Source organism: Homo sapiens, chromosome 6, assembly GCF_000001405.40.
Source record: "Homo sapiens chromosome 6, GRCh38.p14 Primary Assembly".
Taxonomy (NCBI): Eukaryota; Metazoa; Chordata; class Mammalia; order Primates; family Hominidae; genus Homo; species Homo sapiens.
In genome coordinates this window covers 138,709,913-138,729,221 of record NC_000006.12, presented here as the reverse complement: position 1 = coordinate 138,729,221, position 19,309 = coordinate 138,709,913, and the positions used below count along the sequence as shown (strand labels likewise).

The 19,309-nt window shown below is 40.5% G+C and overlaps 1 long non-coding RNA gene across 3 annotated transcripts in view, besides 1 other annotated feature; it reads left to right on the top strand.

Annotated features, from left to right (window-relative positions):
- Positions 1–4,007, top strand: part of CCDC28A-AS1 (CCDC28A antisense RNA 1) — a 48,489-nt gene extending 44,482 nt beyond the window's left edge. For 2 of the 3 annotated variants that reach the window (NR_161205.1, NR_161203.1), the window contains one exon: positions 1,729–4,007. This is a non-coding gene — a long non-coding RNA (CCDC28A antisense RNA 1). The remainder of the gene's footprint in view (positions 1–1,728) is intronic. The other variant, NR_161204.1, reaches the window with a different exon arrangement.
- Positions 5,791–6,441: an enhancer, noted in NCBI's record as "H3K27ac-H3K4me1 hESC enhancer chr6:139043918-139044568 (GRCh37/hg19 assembly coordinates)". NCBI's record gives its function as "activates a minimal SCP1, AML or CMV promoter by ChIP-STARR-seq in primed H9 embryonic stem cells {active_cell/tissue: H9 hESC(primed)}" and the evidence as "EXISTENCE:reporter gene assay evidence [ECO:0000049][PMID:30033119]".

The following is a 19,309-nucleotide window of genomic DNA, read 5'->3' as shown; positions in this document are numbered from 1 at the left end:
TGAGCTGAGATCACACCATTGCACTCTAGCCTGGGCAACGAGAGCGAAACTCCATCTCAAACACACACACACCCATATATATAGTCAAGCTGTTAAGCTCTTCAGATTGTAAGTAAAAGAGACATCCTTCAGCAAGATCTAGCAGTGGTGATTATTATAAATATATATTTGGCAAAAAGAGACACAGAATCTCAAAGAAACTAAAGACCAACAGATATCTTCAGAATCTGTATTGATTCCACGGCAGCTAAGGGACAGTGCATTATCCTTGTCATTTGAGTGCTGTGGTATTATTAACATGACTCTGATACTCTTGATCTCTGCTCCTCTTAGTGTCCTTTTGCTTCCCTTTCTGCTACCAGCTGACTTCCTTGTGGTTTATTCCACACCATTTCCCTTCCTCAAAGCTTCTGCTGTAACTACCATTTATGATTTTTCGTACTTTTATCTTGCTCATAAGTTTGGTTTGCTCCAGGCTCCTCCTGCCCCTTCCCTTCTTCTAGGATATCTTTTAAACTTCAACTCCCACTATTAGTTACCCCATTTCAAATTCCTGAGAGTATGATTTTATTGAACCCAGCTCTAGTGGGTTAAATGTCTCTCCCTCCAATATTCATGTCCAGTGGGAACCTCAGAATGTGACCTTATTTGAAATAATATGGGGATTTTTTGTTTTGTTTTGTTTGTTTGTTTTGAGACAGTCTCACTCTGTCACCCAGGCTGGAATGCAGTGGCGAGATCACGGCTCACTGCAGCCTCGACCTCCTGGGCTCAGGCAATCCTCCCACCTCAGCCTCCCGAGTAGCTGGGACTATAGGCACATGCCATGACACCCGGCTTATTTTTGTATTTTTTTGTAGAGATGGAATCTCACTATGTTGCCCAGGCTGGTCTTGAACTCCTGGGCTCAAGCAGTCCTCCTGCTTCGGCCTCCCAGTGTGCTGGGATTATAGGTGTGAGCCACTGCACCCAGCCTAAAACCCAATCTTTATTGCATCTCTTTCTGCTAACCAACTGGCTTCCTTACAATAAATAATTTAATTTATTACAATAAATATTTATTGATTGACATACATTATTTTCTTCTTTAGTAAGTATTATTACTGATTAACAGATAGTAATTTGAGCCTGAAAATAGTGGGTTGTATAAGAACAGGCAGTAGGATAAGTTTGGCCCGTGGGCCATAGTTTGCCAACTCCTGCTGTAGAAGAGAGTTGCTGTTGCTTGTTCACCAAAAATAAATCTTACTTTCCTGAGAGGACCCTAATTTCCTTCTGGGAACTTTTCTCCTAGCCCCACCTGTCATTGAAAATGATCAGCGTGCACACTTCCAGTAACGCCACAGAAGCATGAGGCCCTGGCTACAGTGATTGGATCCATCTGAGTGAATATTACAGTTGCATGGGGTCTACTTTTTCTTTTTTGAGACAGAGTCTTTCTCTGTCGCCCAGGCTGGAGTGCAGTGGTGAGATCATAGCTCACTGTAGCCTCGACCTCCAAAGCTCAAGCAATCCTCCCACCTCAGCCTCCCGAGCAGCTGGGACCACAGACACATGCCACCATACCTGGCTAATTTTTAAAATTTTGGGTAGAGATAAGGTCTCTCTAGGTTGCCCAGGCTCATCTCAAATTCCTGGGCTTAAGCATCCAACTGCCTTGCCCTCCCAAAGTGCTGAGATGACAGGCTGAGCCACCATACACCCTGCCTCATTTTTCTTTTTCCACAGGAACCTGTGGTGATAAGGAAGATGTGAGCCTGGAGATACAGAAGCTACCACATGAATGTTAAAAATGAAGCTGACGCAGCAAAAGGCAGTGCCAAGGAACTAAAAGAAAACAAATTTTGATTACATTTTTGGAGTTCCTGGGTCAAGCAGTTCATGACACTGAGGCTTTTCCGCTACATGAATAAGTACTTTTTCTTTCCCGTTAAAGTGGGTTTGTGCTGGCTTCTCTATCACTCACAACAACTGGATACTAACTGAGGCAACACTTCCTACCTCTTACACACATTACACCCATAAAACAGAAACAACATCTAAAATTAGATTTCAACACAGCTACCAAGCAGAAAAGTTCAAATCAACAAGTTATGGATAATGTTTTATTGAAACTACATTTCTCCTCCCAATGTGAGTATGGTGTTGGCCAACATGTTGCGTGTTGATTCTGCTTGCCTTTGTGTCCTACATATAGGATGTGTACTGTGTAATGAATCGTTTCTTCATTATTTTTCTCAGCTTGCATGGTTGCCTCCCTCACCTCCATTCACAGAGCTCACTGTGACAGCATTCAACCTTGTCTTGGTACAAGTGTGTAATTTACATAATAGTCGCCTCTGTACTTTCCTCAGTAACTTAAACAAAGAAGACCATCACTCACTGTGCTTGCCTTTCAAATTAGATTTGATATCAAATTAAAGTCTCATTTTATTAAGTTTCTGAAGCCAAAGTCTTTGACCTATGAAAGTATGTTTCAATTATGAATGGAAAAGAGAAGCTTTGTGTTATTAACAGGAAAAGAATTCAAGTGTGATGGTTGTGTCAATGCCATTGGGACATGCCAGTAGTCAGTAACTCAACAGACAAGCCTGCTAGACCTGCTTTACTCATTTGTGGCGCTGTTTCTTCACTTTCTACTGACTCCCACCTGTGTTTCATAATTCTCTACATTGATATGGTTTATTACTTCTCATAGGGATCTTAAATTAATTGTGCAACTCGTTAGAGTCTCTTTATGTAAAATACATAGTCTTCATACTATTAGAATGTTACAATCTGGACCTACCAATGTGAACAAGTGAAAAAATGTGCTGTTTATTTTAACCAGCAGTGGTGTTTTAGTTAGCTATTTATCTCCTTATCTCCCAAATCTCAAAAACACTCAGTAGTTTACAACATGAAGCTTTTTTTTTTTTTTTTTTGCTTACAGGTCTGTGGGTCAGCTGGGATAACTCTGCTTCAGACTGTGGGTCATCTTGGCTTGGCAGACTTTAGGTTAAACATAAGACTGTGTGTCTCATTCTGGGGCCCAGACTGAAGGGATAGCAGCTAGCTGGTGCATGCTGTCTTCGTGGCAATCACAGGGGTGCGAGAGGCGGAGCTGAAGGACGCAAGCACATTTAAGTCTTTTGCGTGTGTCATGTTCAATGACATTCCATGTCCAGAGCCAGCTACATGGGTGGATCATGAATAGAGGGGAGAAATACACCCCACCCACTTCAGTGAGCTTTAGGTTTACATGACTGAGGGATGGAGGGAAGAATTTTGGACAATAATCTCATCTAGTACATATGGCTTCAATTTGTATGAACCCTATCTCTACTCCTCCAACCTTCTGATCTCAACTGCTATTGCTAATATGACCTGTGGGAGCGAGAGGACTTTCTATAACTAGGCTGAATTTTAAAGGAAGAGAATGACTTCCAGATAGCTTATTGGCTATCAATCTAGGAGCTCTTACAGCTGAGAAACATTTTGACCCAACCCTCTGGCTTCTTTGTTGATTTATTTTTCTGATAAAATTCATTTTTTTAAATATTAAGCTTTAAGAAGTACATGTGTTTTAATGCAGTAAAAAATAAAGCATATATGATTCAATCATTTGTAAATATACAGTATAACTAGTAAGAAATAAGGGGTCTCATTCACACCCAGATTTATAGGAGCCAGCACTATGTGCTCGGTATATAATAGAAGCTCAGTTAGTATTTGTTGATTGAAGTACCTTTTCTTATTTACTAATGATTATTATTAACAGATAATAATTTGGGCCTGAAATAGACATTTCCTTTTTTAATATAATTATATATATGTGCATATATATATCATCAATATCCTCTGACTTTATTAGTGACTGTTAACCACGTCGAAAAAAGTAAAGGTGTTTATTATGCATGCATAGAAAAATGATATGTTTGTGTTCGCTCTTTTTAGGACCAAGAAAAAATTATTGGTTGCTGTTTTCTCAGTTTTGGTTTTTTTTAAAATAAATTTTACTGTGTGTATTTGAGTTTTACAACATCAACATCATGTTATGAGATACATATAGATAGTAACATGATTACTATATTCTCAGTTTTGTTTTAAAAGAATACTTGTTTATATATCCTTTTGATGTGGTAAGAGACCTTAGGAGAATATCTAAACGGATAGTTAGAAATATGTGTCAATATAAGCAAAATCAAATTGTCAAGATTGTAAGTATCAGCCAATGAAAATGCCAGTTAAAATTACTTTTAAACAGCATTTAAAATTAAAATTATTTATGATATAGATATAAAAGATATAATTTTTTTATAGAAATCAAAAAATTGTTTTCTTCATGGGAGGAAATAAACTAATTCCTAGAGTTGATTTTATGAAAACTGAATGCATCATAAAACAAAAATAACTTAATTGAAAGATAGTTTGCTTTGTGTCATAGGTCATCTGTTTAGAAGAGCAATACTAAAGTAACTAAATGCCTTCTTGGGCTTCCTTCAGTGATTCTGAAGTTTCAGGCTATTTCCTTTGCTTTCTTCTAGGAAACATTTATTATGGCTTAAATATGCACTAATGTTTCAAGTTATAATCATCTTGCCAGATATACTTATGGCATAAAGACAGGAAGGAAACTAATACTCATGAAGGGTCTATTATGTATCTCTGGTAAGGTGTTAAAAGCAACACCTTGTTGAGATGAGAAATATTCCCATTTCGGAAGAGCGGAAACTAGGCTTAGAAAGTTGAAATGACAGAGTCTTTTTTTACTCCAAAATCATGTGCTTTGGCATGAGCCAAAACCTGAGAAAACTGTCCATGGGATAGTGTAGTAAACTGGTATGAACTCCCCTTGCAAGTTCAATAATTGCAGTATAGTAAAATCAAGCTTTGTTTAGAGATAAACAAACGACTCTATGCATATGTTTTGCAATAGACAAATCACAATAGTCCAAAGTCCTACAGTGATATTCTCCAATGCCACAGAAGAGGCCCTGAGGAACAGTTCAAATGTGGATCTACCCGCTAAATGCTCCCCAGGCATGGGCGGCCCCTCCTGGCTGGAATTTCTCTTGTGGTTATTCCTGCAGTGTCTGCAGCACTGACCTTATTCCTGGCCTCAAAATCCACTTCCTCTTCTAGTGAATATCTTGTTTTTCTCATGCTTCCTGACCCACTTTCCTAGTCTAGTGACACCTCTAGACATTTTTCTTCAACATTTCTTGATTTGTAAGAATGCTTCCAAACTCCTACACCAGGTAGGAGTTACCTCTTTTATCAAATACACTTTTCCCTTATCTTATCAATGACAAACATTAGCAAGTATTTGTTGCCTTCACAGTCTACTTCTAATCTGTGCATCCTGTCCTCAAATAATTTATAATCGACCTAAGGAGAAAAGCTATTCCCATAAAAATAATGAGATCTGAACATAAGAATAAGTTGTGTTACAAGACTTCACAGGAGGGGCCAGGTGCGGTGGCTCACACCTGTAATTCCAACACTTTGGGAGGCTGAGGCAGTTGGATCACCTGAGGTCACAGCAGCCTGGCCAACATGGTGAAACCCCATCTCCACTAAAAATATAAAAATTAGCCGGGCATGGTGGCGGGCACCTGTAATCCCAGCTACTTGGAAGGCTGAGACAGGAGAATCGCTTGAACCCGGGAGGTGGAGGTTGCAATAAGCCGAGATCGTGCCACTGCATTCTAGCCTGAGCAACAAAGCAAGACTCTGTCTCAAAAAAAAAAAAAAAAAAAAAAAAAAAGACTTCATAGGAGGGAAGGATGAACATGTACTGAGGAAGTTGAAAGTAGATGGAGCCTTGAAAGCATATGTTGACCACAGCACCCTCCCCACCACCGTGTCCCCATAATCTAACATCTTGCACTGGCCAGCATTAAAGGACACATCAAAGATGTCAAGAACACAGGAACACAATGAGGCCATCATTCTGGAGGAACAAAGGCATCAACACACTCTTTCTCTTGTGCTGAGTCATCTTCCCTCTCATAAAGTTCCCTGCAGAGCTTTAAGAGGGTTTGTTTTCTCTTTGGACTGTGACTTTACTGTCTAAGCCCCAAGCTTATGAGAAAAGATGCCCTGACTTTGCTCTGAGCCTAAAGGGAAGACATACTTGTGGTTTCTACCTTGTCTAGCCCAGCTCACAGAGTAGATGAATATCTGGCAGAAACTTTGGTCCTAGGACTAATAAATGTGCCTTTCCCTGGAAAGGGCTCTGTGTCATATCTCTCTAGAGACTTTTATGCTATGCCAAGACAGTATAGCAATGGTAAATGACTAAGGGCTTGGGGTTTGAAGTCAGCAGACCTGTTACATGTCTCCGAGATGGTTGCAGTCAGTATAGCTGTGAGAGTTGAGAGAGCCCCAGAGGCCTTCAACAGAGCTAATAGCAGAATTTGGAAAAATTCCAGATTATTGTTCTACTGCCCTAGAATAAGTTAGCAGACCTTGGTGCTCAGGATACCTGGGATCTGAGACTTTCTGTGTTGCTACGTGGTTCACACATGTTCATGTGAACAATCACCTGGTGAGGTAGTAACTTTATTTTTACAAACTAGATGAGTTAATTTGCCCACATTTGTGAAACTATTACGTGACTGATTGACTAAATACTTTTGGGGAAGTGAATGTAAGTTCATGGTTGTACTAGTTTTTAATTAATGCAATTAAAGAATTAGCAACCTGAAAGTCAAATGAATAGTTCGTTTGCTCCACTGTTCTAATTTACTAATCCAAGTAAACTTTAAAGTGTATGGGGATGTTGCTGAATAAATGTGTTGCCCCTCCCAAGTCATATATTTGCATTTATAACTGGCAGTAGGATGTATCTTAATCCAGTTATTAATTTTTAAAAGAAAATCAGCATAAACTTGCTGCAGTGAAATCTTACTCCAAAGTCCCTGAAATATAACTGCATGATGGCTCTATGAGGTCTTTTTTCCCTCCATATCTGTGGGGTTTTTTTTCCCTGAGTTAGCCCCTGGGTGACCCCACCCTATGCCCTAAATTATACAATTCTACGTGTGATGACCAACTACTAACTTAATCCCAGGGGCATGAGAACTTTGATCTGGCAGGTGTACAGAGGCCTTAAAATACCCACAGATGGATATTGGGCCCTTTCATAGCAGGTAAACCCTGCCTGTAGTTCAAAAGTCTCTTCTATTTTGAGGAAATCAGTTGAATAAAGATAGTAGTAGCTTTTCTGTAGTTTATAATACCATTAAGTAATTTTAATTACAAAAATTAGAAATAATCTAGAACTGTCTCCAAAATGTACGTCGTAAATTCAGAAGGAAAGGGGTGGGGCAGGGAGTGGTAGAGCTTGGAAAATCCCCATATTTGGTTCTAAGAGATGCACATATTTATTTACTTCATCTACCGCACCCCCAGTGTGAAAAACATTGTGTAATTGTAGGGTCAAGCACGGTGGCTCACGCCTGTAATCCAGCACTTTGGGAGGCTGAGGCGGGTGGATAACTTGAGGTTAGGAGTTCAAGACCAACCTGGCCAACATGGTGAAACCCCATCTCTACAAAAAATACAAATATTAGCTGGGCATGGTGGTGCACACCAGTAATCCCAGCTACTCGGGAGGCTGAGGCAGGAGAATCACTTGGACCCTGGTGGCAGAGGTTGCAGTGAGCCAAGATCGTGTCATTGCACTCCAGCCTGGGCAACAGAGTCAAACTGTCTCAAAAAAAACAAAACAAACAAAAAGAAAAACATTATGTAATTGTTATGCTGTGATATTTCAACTTAGTAGTGAAGAATGTTTTTTACCTTCTTTAGGAAAAGAAAACTGGAAAGATGTATCCACATTACAATTTCATTGATATTCTCTTAAAATTATATACATCAGCCTTCTGTATTCATGAGTTCTACACCTGTGGATTCAATCAACTGCAGATAAAAAAACTTCTAAAATTACCTCTGTACTGAACATGTAACAGACTTTTTTCCTTGTCATTATTCCCTAAACAGTTCAGTATAATGACTATTTACATAGAATTTCCGTTGTATCAGGTATTATAAGTAATGGTATTATAAGATGATTTAAAGTACACGGGGAGGATGTGTGTAGGTTATTTGCAAATAATACTATGCCATTTTATATTAGGGTCTTGAGCATCTCTGAATTTAGCTATCAGTGGGGGGGTCCTAGGACAAATCTTCCACAGGTACTGAAGGATGACTGTATTCATTCTACGTGTCAATAAAAAATTTCAAAACTGTTAGCTTTGTTTTTTCATTAGAGTTGATTTTGGTAATAAGTACAGGAAAGAAAAATTCACATTTCACACCATGTAAATCAAGTTTCTCAGGCATTCCTAGTGCAATCTGATGAAAACATCTTTCCTTAAGGTGCTTTATAGTCTCTGGAAAAATAAATTGCTACTTTTTTTAGTGACAGGTGATTGCTCTGTCACCCAGGCTGGGAGTGCAGTGGTGCAATCATAGCTTACTGCAGTCTTGACTTCCTGGGCTCAAGTGATCCCACTGCCTCGGCCTCCTGAGTAGCTAGGCTCATGCCACCACACCGACTAATTTTTTTTTGTAGAGACAAGTTGCCATTATGTTGCCCAGGCTTAGTCTCCTGTCTTCAAGTGATCCTCCAACCTCGGCCTTCCAAAGCTCTGGGATTTACAGGTATGAGCCACTGTGCCCAGCCTACTTTTATCAGTTATAAGTGTGTTTGCCTGCAAGCAACTGAAGACCCAAGAAAGGTAGGTTTATTTATTTTTATTTTATTTTATTTTATTTTCTGAGATGGAGTCTTGCTCTTGTCACCCAGGCTGGAGTGCAATGGTGCGATCTTGGCTCGCTGCAACCTCGGCTCACTGCAACCTCCGCCTCCCAGGTTCAAGTCATTCTCCTGCCTCAGCCTCCTGAGTAGCTGGGATTACGGGTGCCTGCCACCATGCCCAGCTAATTTTTGTATTTTTAGTAGAGATGGGGTTTCATCATGTTGGCCAGGCTGGTCTCAAACTCCTGACCTCAGGTGATCCACCCGCCTCGGCCTCCCAAAGTGCTGGAATTACAGGCTTGAGCTACTGCGCCTGGCCAGAAAGGTAGGTTTAAATAAGTAAGGAGTTTATTTGCCTCAAGTGACAAAGATATCTAGAGACAAGTTTCCAGGCCTGAGATGGTGGCTCAACCATGTCTTCATGTGGCTCTCATTTGTGTGTAAAATAGTTTCACTTCAGGCATCTTGTCAGTGTCCCAAGTGGGAAGAAAGAGGAAGAAGAAGGTGCAAAGTGTGGTGGAAGTTGCCAGCCCAACCTTTATTTGATTTTTTGTTTTGTTTTGTTTTGTTTTGGAGACAGGGTCTTGTTCTGTCACTCAGGCTGGAGTGCAGTGGTGCTATCACGGCTCACTGCAGCCTTGACCTCCCAGGCTCTCACCATCCTCTCACCTCAGCCTTTCAAGTAGCTGGGACCATAGGCTTGCACCACCATGCCTGGCTAACTTTTAAATGTTTTTGTAGAGACGGGTTCTCCCTATGTTGCCTAGGCTGGTCTTAAACTCCTGTGTTCATGTGATCCTCCTGCCTCGGCCTCTCAAAGTGCCGAGATTACACGTGTGAGCCACGGGGCCCAGCCTGCCCAGCCTTTAAAATAGCATTGCTAAGAAGCCTCAAGCAGAGACTTCTGTTTATACTTCATTGGGCAGAACTGGGCCATATGGCTATTCTACCTCCATCACATGGAGTGTAGGAAAGCAAGTGTCTCACTTTGCAACCTGCATATGTGTAGAGGAGGCTGGTTGAAAGGCAGTGAAGTGGGTGGTCAGAAAGCCAGCTCTTAATATGCCATCACTAATGTGGGATTCTTCTCTTACTGATTTCTTGTCATGTGGAATTACTTTAAACAAACAAAAAGTTTTCAGTTCAGAAGTTCTAGTTTAGGAATGCAATGTCCTCACCACTTATTTCCTCTTTTAAATGATAGATTTGCGCTGTCTTGTCTTGAAATAGCTACTTATTGTAGCTTGTGTTTTGAGAGCAGCCTATCTAAGATCAAATGACAAAATGAAGGGAAACATCTTGTGACCTTTTTGGTTTTAGTCATTTGGGATCTATTTCTTGCCAGGACAGACAGTTCAGTATTTTGAAATATTCTGGTGTTTATTTGTTCAAGACCAAGACAGAACCATCATGAATAATGAATATACAAAAAAAGAACCACGGCATGAAATATACATTTTTGAAACTCACTTGGATCTGTTGAACTAAGTCAGTTCCAATTAAAGAACTCTATTATCTTTTTCTTTGGAAGCAAAAATTGTATTAACTTACAAGGGTAAAATTTCCTTAGTTATAGTTCTTAAACTCTACTAAAGACATCTGAACATTGTTGACTGATCATAAAAATGTCTAATTTGAGTAGCAGATCATACTGTAATTCTAGTCATCAGATTATTGCAACTCAGACCTTTAAAAATATTTCTCTTTACAATTAGAATAAAATGCTCTTATTAGAGAATCTTATTGTAAATGATGAGAGACTATCCTTTTATACATACCCTATTATGAATACTTAACATTTTGATGTATTTTTGTTTATGAAAAGAAAATAATCAGTTATTATTAATTGAATATATATTCTATGCCAATAATTTAACATTTAACTTAATCCTCTCAAAAAGTCTAGGAGCTAGGTATGGTTTTGTCCCCATATTTACAGATGAAGATAGTTACAATTAAGTAATTTGTTCAAAGTCACATGGCAAGTAGCACAGCTGGATGTGAACTTAGAAAGTCTTCAAAACTTCAACATTTTGAGGACCTGCCAGTTTCAAGAATCTAGGAAGCTGAAGTAGACAGATACAAGGGTTTACCAATATTTTTCTTATATCACTTGATTGAAGATTCTGATTTTCAGAAAAGACTGATAACCCATCTGTCCATTAGCAGCCTATATCTGAGAGTTACGTTGGTCCTTGTTCTTCCTAAGGGCTGAAATTTCATGTATCCCTAGATTCTGTGAGCTCCTCTGTAGCATTCAACAAATTTTTGCCTTAATTTCTGGAGTGTTTCTGATGTGTCCTATTACAGAATACTGATACAACAGATTTTGTGACTTGGAAACCTAAACATCCTTTCTGTGGGAAAATGCATTGAGTTTCCAACAAGGAACCTATAGATGAGCTTCTGAAAAACCATTCGTTAGTCAGATATTCTATTCATAAATATAAAACATTGTCTGTTCCTTATATCCTATCCTAATTGACCTTCTAAAAAAAGTCTCTTTTTTTAGTACACTTGATCACTTTATTATTGGAAGTTATGAGCATAAGTCCCTAATAATATATTAGCCATTTCCATTCGGCAGAGACCTTATCTATTTTACATAATAGCTAGTACACCATTTACACTCAGTAAGATTATTAATACTCTTTCATTTGTTTTAGTTAAACAAGTTCTAGTGAATTTATTTATGTGCAAACAATTCAAACAAAACAGATGTAGTGAAGGGCTCCTTTTAACTGCTTCCAATCCCCATCCCCGCAGAGGTAAACCCAATTAACAGTTGGAGGTGGAAACTTCCAGTTCTTTTGTATACATTTACCTACATGTGTATGTTCCCATATAGAAATATAGAGGGTTTTTGGTGTATTTTATTTTAAACACTAAATATGCTAATGATTTGATTTGCTTTGCTTATTTTACATAGCAATGTCTTGTAGTTCTTTCCATGTCAGTGCAAACAGATCCATCTCATTCTTTTTAACTATTGCCAGGCATTGCATAATATGAATCTTTATGTATGTATGTATGTATTTATGAGACAGAGTCCTGCTCTGTCATCCAGGCTGGAGTGCAAGTGGCACAATCATGGCTCACTGCAGCCTCGAACTCCTGCGCTCAAGCTCCACCTCAGCTTCTTGAGTAGCTGGGACTACTGGTGTGTGTAGTTTTTTTTTTTTTTTGTAGAGATAGGGGTATTATGTTGTCCAGGCTGGTCTTGAACTCCTGGCCTCAAGCAATCCTCCTGCATTGGCCTCCGGAAGTGCTGGGATTACAGGCATGAGCCACCTAGCCCAGCTACGATAGGAATCTACAATGGATTGCATAACTAGTCTTTTTTTGATGGACAACTCAGTTGTTTGTAATTGTGTTATTATTACAATGAAGCTGTGGCAAATATCTTTACACATTTCTCTTGGTGCACAGGTTTATCTAGGGTAAATATCCAGCAGTTAATTTTTTTTGGATTGAAATATGTGTGCTTTAAAAATTTTAGGGAGGAGGAAGGGAGGGGGCTGAGGGCTGAGGGACTGCCTGTTGGGTGTTGTGCTCACTGCCTGGGTAATGGGATCATCCATACCCCAAACCTTAGCGTCATACAGCGTTTCCATGTGGCAGACCTGCACATGTACCCCCAAATCTAAAATAAAAGTTGAAATTATTTTTTAAAAATATAATACATACTCAGTAAAAAAATGAACCTGGCCGGGCGCAGTGGCTCATGCCTGTAATCCCAGCACTCTGGGAGGCCGAGGTGGGTGGATCACTTGAGGTCAGGAGTTTGAGACCAGCCTGGTCAACATGGCAAAACCCCGTCTCTACTGAAAAAACAAAAGTTAGCCGGGTGTGGGTGACACATGCCTGTAATCCAAGCTACTCAGGAGACTGAGGCAGGAGAATCACTTGAACCTGGGAGGTGGAGGTTACAGTGAGCTAAGATCATGCCACTGCACTCCAGCCTGGGTGATAGAGAGTCTGTCTCAAAAACAAACAAACAAGCAAACAAACAAACAAAACAAACTAAACTCATAGCCAAGTGTATGATCAAGTTAGCCACCAGTTCCTTGTGATCACACTAAATCTTTTGTTTCTCAACAGTTACTCTTATAGAAAAATCATTTTTATGTTCCATCTTTTGGATCCTCTCTCTCATACTTCCATTCCTCTAAATGAGGATGTATTTTTGGTGACAAGTAATAGAAACCTTACGTGAACCAGACAGAAAGGGTAATTCATGGGCTCATGTAATCAAACTGTGGGAAAGCCCCAGTCTAGCTACATCTAGCCCCAGTCTAGCAACATTTAGGCAATGCTGCCAGGACTCATTTTGCTTCTCAATTTCACTCTTTTACTGCAGGGCAACTTCTTTATTTTAAGAGTTCTTTGTATTCTAATACAAGTCCTTTATTAGATATGTGCTTTGCAAGTATTTTCTCCCAATCTATGGTCTGTCTTCTATTTCTCTTAACAGTATCCATCAAAGAGCATTTTTAAATTTTGATTAAGTCCAATATATTAGTTTTTAAAAAATGGATCATCATTTTGGTGTTGTATCTAAGAAATCACTGCCTAACCCATGGCCACAAAGATTTTCTCCTATGTTAGCATCTAGAAGTTTTTTAGCTTTAGGTTTTACATTTAGGTCAATGATCAATTTGGGGCTAATTTTTGTATATGGCACATGGCATGGATAAAAGGTTATTATTATTGCATATGGATGTTTTATTATTCCAGCACCATTTTTTGAAAAGATGATCCCTTCTCCACTGAATTGCCTTTGCACCTTTGTTGAAAATCAGTTTTCCATTTATGTGTGGGCATGTTTCTCCACTCTCTTTTCTGTTTCACTGATTTATTTGTCTACCTTTACTTCTATCTCACACTGTCTTGAACACTATATCTTTATAGGAAGCATTGAAATCAGGTAGAGTTAGCTCTCCAACTTTGTTTTGCTTTTTCAAAGTTGTTTTGGCCATTCAGGTCTTGATATGGTTTGGGTCTGTGTCCCCGCCCAAATCTCATGTTGAATTGTAATCCCTAGTGTTGGAGGAGGGGCCTGGTGGGAGGTAATTGGATCATGGGGGTGGACTTCCCCCTTGCTGTTCTCATGATAGTGAGTTCTCACGAGATCTGCTTGTTTAAAAGTATGTAGCATTTCCCCCTTCCCTCTTTCTTCACAAGCTCTGTCATGTGAAGATGTGCCTGCTTCCCCTTCACCTTCCACCATGATTGTAAGTTTCCTGAGGCCTCCCCAGCCGTGCTTCCCGTACAGCCTGCAGAATTGTGAGTCAATTAAACCTCTTTTCTTCATAAATTATCCAGTCTCAGGTAGTTCTTTATAGCGATAAGAGAATGAACTGATACAGAAAATTGGTACCGGGAAGTGGGGCATTGCTATAAAGATACCTGAAAATGTGGAAGCATCGTTGCAACTGGGTAATGGGCAGAGGTTGGAACAATTTGGAGAGCTCAGAAGAAGACAGGAAGATGAGGGGAAGTTTGGAACTTCCTAGAGACTTGTTAAATTGTTGTGAACAAATGCTGATAGTAATATAGACAGTGAAGTCCAGGCTGAGGTGGTCTCATACAGAGATGTAGAACTTACTGGGAGCTGCAGTAAAGGTTGCTCTTGCTATGCTTTAGCAAAGAGACTGGCAGCTCTAGGGATCTTTGGAACTTTGAACTTGAGAGAGATGACTTAGAGTATCTGGCAGAAGAAATTTCTAAGCAGCAAAGCATTCAAGATGTGGCCTGGTTGCTTCTAACAGTATATACTCATATGCATGAGCAAAGAGATGACCTGAAATGGAAACTTAGATTTAAAAGAAAAATTGAAAGAACTTCAAAGAAAATAACTTTCTCAAAATTTAATGAAGCATCTGTGCACCAAATAAAATCCTGTCACAGACTGCCAGAGATTCTGTTTCAAACTTTGGGAAACATTGGCATGATGTTTCCCAGCTCTTGAGTCCAAGTTCTTGAGGCCAGCAGGCTACGTTTAAATCTAGGGTCTTTCCCTCAGGTACTAGCCGTTTGCTGCTATGCTTCCCCTCTGAATCTGTTTCCTTACCTGCAAAATAACAGTACTAATAAAATTGCCTGTTTGTAGATATAAAATGAGATGAGGCATAAAAAGCCCTTGGCATAATCCCCAGTAAATGGTAGGTGCCTTGAAAATGTCAGTCATTTTTAAGGCAGGAAATCAGTGTCATAACTCAAAAATATGGGCCCTTTCTGTTATGGTCAGCTTTCTACTCTCCATTCTTACCCTCAAGTTTGAGACACTTGGCCTTGACTTAATCTCTTCACTCTCAAGGTGTAAAAGCACTTCACCAAACCTTTTATTTCAACAATAGAATCAGGACCATGACTCATGTATAAGTGACTGTGCAAGTTGATCTGGGTGGGATTGTGAGCCAGATCATCCAGAGTCAGTCTTCGCTTGCCATAATTGTCATGGTATCATTACTAACAGATATTTAGGGGTGAGCACCCATTATGGGTAAAACTCCATGACAGCTTCTGGGAGCACTATTCTAGATGGTCATAGTGAGCTTTTGGCTGGATGTCTGCAACACACTCTAAGAGGCCAACTGGAAGCTGTGGACCAGGCAGACTAGAGCCACTTTGCAGTGGAGAGGCACAAACTACAAGGAATAAAATTATAGGTTGCTAGAATTGTAGTCTACATTTCCCTTTGGCTGCCTGTTTGTTTCTCGATATAATTTGAGGTGTTGACTATAGACCACAAAAACCTAGGTGGTTTTGGGTACCAAGCTGTCTTATGAATTACCTTTCTCTCTTTCTAACTTCCCGGTAGCTAAGATTAGCAAGCATGGTTGGGATTATAATTGCTGCATTTAAACTACAGAAAGACTGTTCTTTGATGAAAGATTCTCATATTTCATAAATGTTCTAGTTTGATAAAACTTTAATGTCCTTACCAACAGGTCATAATGGACATGTAACTTTTTATGTTCTTACTACATTGGTTATTTTTAAAGTATACTTTGTTCTGAAAGTATACTTGTTCTCAAATCTTTAGAGGCACAAATTTTTACAAGTCCGATCATATCTATTACCAGATCAGTTGTATATTTGAATTATAGCCAAGTTCCCCTAGTTTACAAGGCAATGTGAATTATGGATAAATTATTAATACCAGTTAAAAGATAATTATTGAAATTACAATGGGGCTTATTTGAATATTTAAAAATCCTGGCTGGGGCATGGTGGCTCATGCCTGTAATCTCAGCACTTTGGGAAGTCGAGGCGGGCAGATCACCTGAGGTCAGGAGTTCGAGACCAGCCTGACCAACATGGTGAAACACTGTCTCTACTAAAAATACAAAAATTAGCTGGGCATGGTGGCAGGTACCTGTAGTCATCACTACTCAGGAGGCTGAGACAGGAGAATTGCTTGAACCTGGGCGGCGGAGGTTGCAGTGAGCTGAGATTGTGCCACTGCATTCCAGCCTGGGCAACAGGGTGAGACTCCATCTCAAAAAAATAAAAATAAAAAATAAAAATCCTGGCTGGGCATAGTGGCTCACACCTATAATCCCAGCACTTTGGGAGGCTGAGGCAGGCAGACCCTTTGAGCTCAAGAGTTTTAGACCAGCCTGGGCAACATGGCAAAACCCTGTCTCTATTTAAAAATGCAAAAAATTAGCCAGACATGGTGGTGCGCACCTGTAGTCCCAGCTACTTGGGAGGCTGAAGTAGGAGAATTGCTTGATGAACCAAATAGATGCATATTTTTCTTCAGTTGTAAGCAATTAAAATGGTATTTTATAGATGAGAGCTGGCTTGCTGTAGTTACAATCTTACTTTGGACAAAATACACGCTGAATTGCTTTTCATTGAGATGAGGCATAAATCTAGGTTTTAGGTATCCTGAAACGTATGAAATTTTGGAGTCCCTCTTCAAGTAAAAAGAATACCAGGCTAAGTGTAGTGGCTCACGCTTGTAATCCCAGCACTTTGAGAGGCCGAGGCAGGCAGATCACTTGAGCTCAGGAGTTGGAGACCAGCCTAGGCAATATGGCAAAACTCCATCTCTACAAAAAATACAAAAATTAGCCAGATGTGGTGGCACAGGCCTGTAGTCCCAGCTACTTGATAGGCTGATGTGAGAGGATTGCTTGAGCCCAGGAAGTGGAGGCTGCAGTGAGCTGTGTTTGAGCCACTGCACTCCAGCCTGAGTGACATGGCAAGACCTTGTCACACATGCCAAAAAAAAAACACCAAAAAAACAAACAAAAAGAAAAGAAAAAAGTCAGGCATGGTGGTTCACACCTGTAATCCTAGCACACTGAGGTGGGAGAATTGCTTGAGGCCAAGAGTTCAAGACCCACCTGGCCAAAATAGTGAGACTCCGTCTCTAAAAAAAAAGAGAAAAGTAGGGGAAATTTTGAAGATGGCTGAATAGGAACAGCTCTGGTCTGCAGTTCCCAGCATGATTGATGCAGAAGACGGGTGATTTCTACATTTCCAACTGAGGTACATGGTTCATCTCATTGGGACTGGTTGGACAGTGGGTGCAGCCCATGGAGGGCAAGTTCAAGCAGGGCAGGGCCTTGCCTCACCCGGGAAGCACAAAGGGTCAGGGGATTTCCCTTTCCTAGTCAAGGGAAGCCATGACAGACTACCTGGAAAAATGGGGCACTCACGCCCAAATACTGTGCTTTTCCCAAGGTCTTCACAAATGGCAGACAAGGTGATTCTCTCCTGTGCCTGGCTTGGTGGGTCCCACACCCATGGAGCCTTGCTCACTGCTAGCGCAGCAGTCTGAGATCGATCTGCGAGGTGGCAGCCTGGCTGGGGGAGGGGTGTTGGCCATTGCTGAGGCTTGAGTAGGTAAACAAAGCAGCCAGGAAGCTTGAACTGGGTGCCCACCGCAGCTCAACAAGGCCTACTGCCTCTAGACTGCACCTCTGTGGGCAGGGCATAGCTAAACAAAAGGCAATAGACAACTTCTGCAGACTTAAACGTCCCTGTCTGACAGCTCTGAAGAGAGCAGTGGTTCTCTTTGCATGGCGTTTGAGCTCTGAGAATGGACAGACTGCCTCCTCAAGTGGGTCCCCAACCCCTGTGTAGCCTAACTGGGAGACATCTCCCAGTAGGGGCCGACAGACACCTCATATAAGTGGCTGCCCCTCTGGGACGAAGCTTCCAGAGGAAGGATCAGGCAGCAATATTTGCTGTTCTGTAATATTTGCTATTCTGCAGACTCCACTGGTGATACCCAGGCAAACAGGGTCTGGAGTGGAACTCCAGCAAACTCCAACAGACCTGCAGCTGAGAGACATGACTGTTAGAAGGAAAACTAACAAACAGAAAGGAATAGCATCAACATCAACAAAAAGCTCAGCTACACCAAAATCCCATCTGTAGGTCACCAACATCAAAGACCAAAGGTAGATAAAATCACAAAGATGGGGAGAAACCGGAGCAGAAGAGCTGAAAATTCTAAAAATCCAGTGCCTCTTCTCCTCCAAAGGATCACAGCTCCTCACCAGCAAGGGAACAAAGCTGGACGGAGAATGACTTTGACGAGTTGACAGAAGTAGGCTTCAGAAGGTTGGTAATAACAAACTTCTACGAGCTAAAGGAGGATGTTCAAACCTTCACAAGGAAGCTAAAAACCTTGAAAAAAGATTAGATGAATGGCTAACTAAACAGTGTAGAGAAAACGTTAAATGACCTGATGGAGCTGAAAACCATGGCACGAGAACTTTGTGATACATGCACAAGCTTCAGTAGCTGATTTGATCAAGTGGAAGAAAGGGTATCAGTGATTGAAGATCAATTGAATGAAATAAAGTGAGAAGACAAGGTTAGAGGAAAAAGAGTAAAAAGGAATGCACAAAGCCTCCAAGAAATATGGGACTATGTGAAAAGACCAAATCTACATTTGATTGGTGTACCTGAAAGTGATGGGGAGAATGGAACCAATTTGGAAAACACTCTTCAGGATATTATCCAGGAGAACTTCCCCAACCTAGCAAGGCAGGCCAACATTCAAATTCAGGAAATACAGAGAACACCACAAAGATACTCCTCGAGAAGAGCAACCCCAAGACACATAATTGTCAGATTCACCAAGGTTGAAATGAAGGAAAAAGTGTTAAGGGCAGCCAGAGAGAAAGGTCAAGTTACCCACAAAGGGAAGCCCATCAGACTAACAGCAGATCTCTTGGCAGAAACCCTACAAGCCAGAAGAGAGTGTGGGCCAATATTCAACAATCTTAAAGAAAAGAACTTTCAACCCAGCCTTTCATATCCAGCCAAACTAAGCTTCACAAGTGAAGGAGAAATAAAATCCTTTACAGACAAGCAAATGCTGAGAGATTTTGTCACCACCAGGCTTGCCTTACAAGAGCTCCTGAAGGAAGCACTAACCATGGAATGAAAAAACCGGTACCAGCCACTGCAAAAACATGCCAAATTGTAAAAACCACTGATGCTATAAAGAAATCTATTAATGGGCAAAATAACCAGCTAACATCATAATGGCAGGATCAAATTCACACATAACAATATTAACCTTAA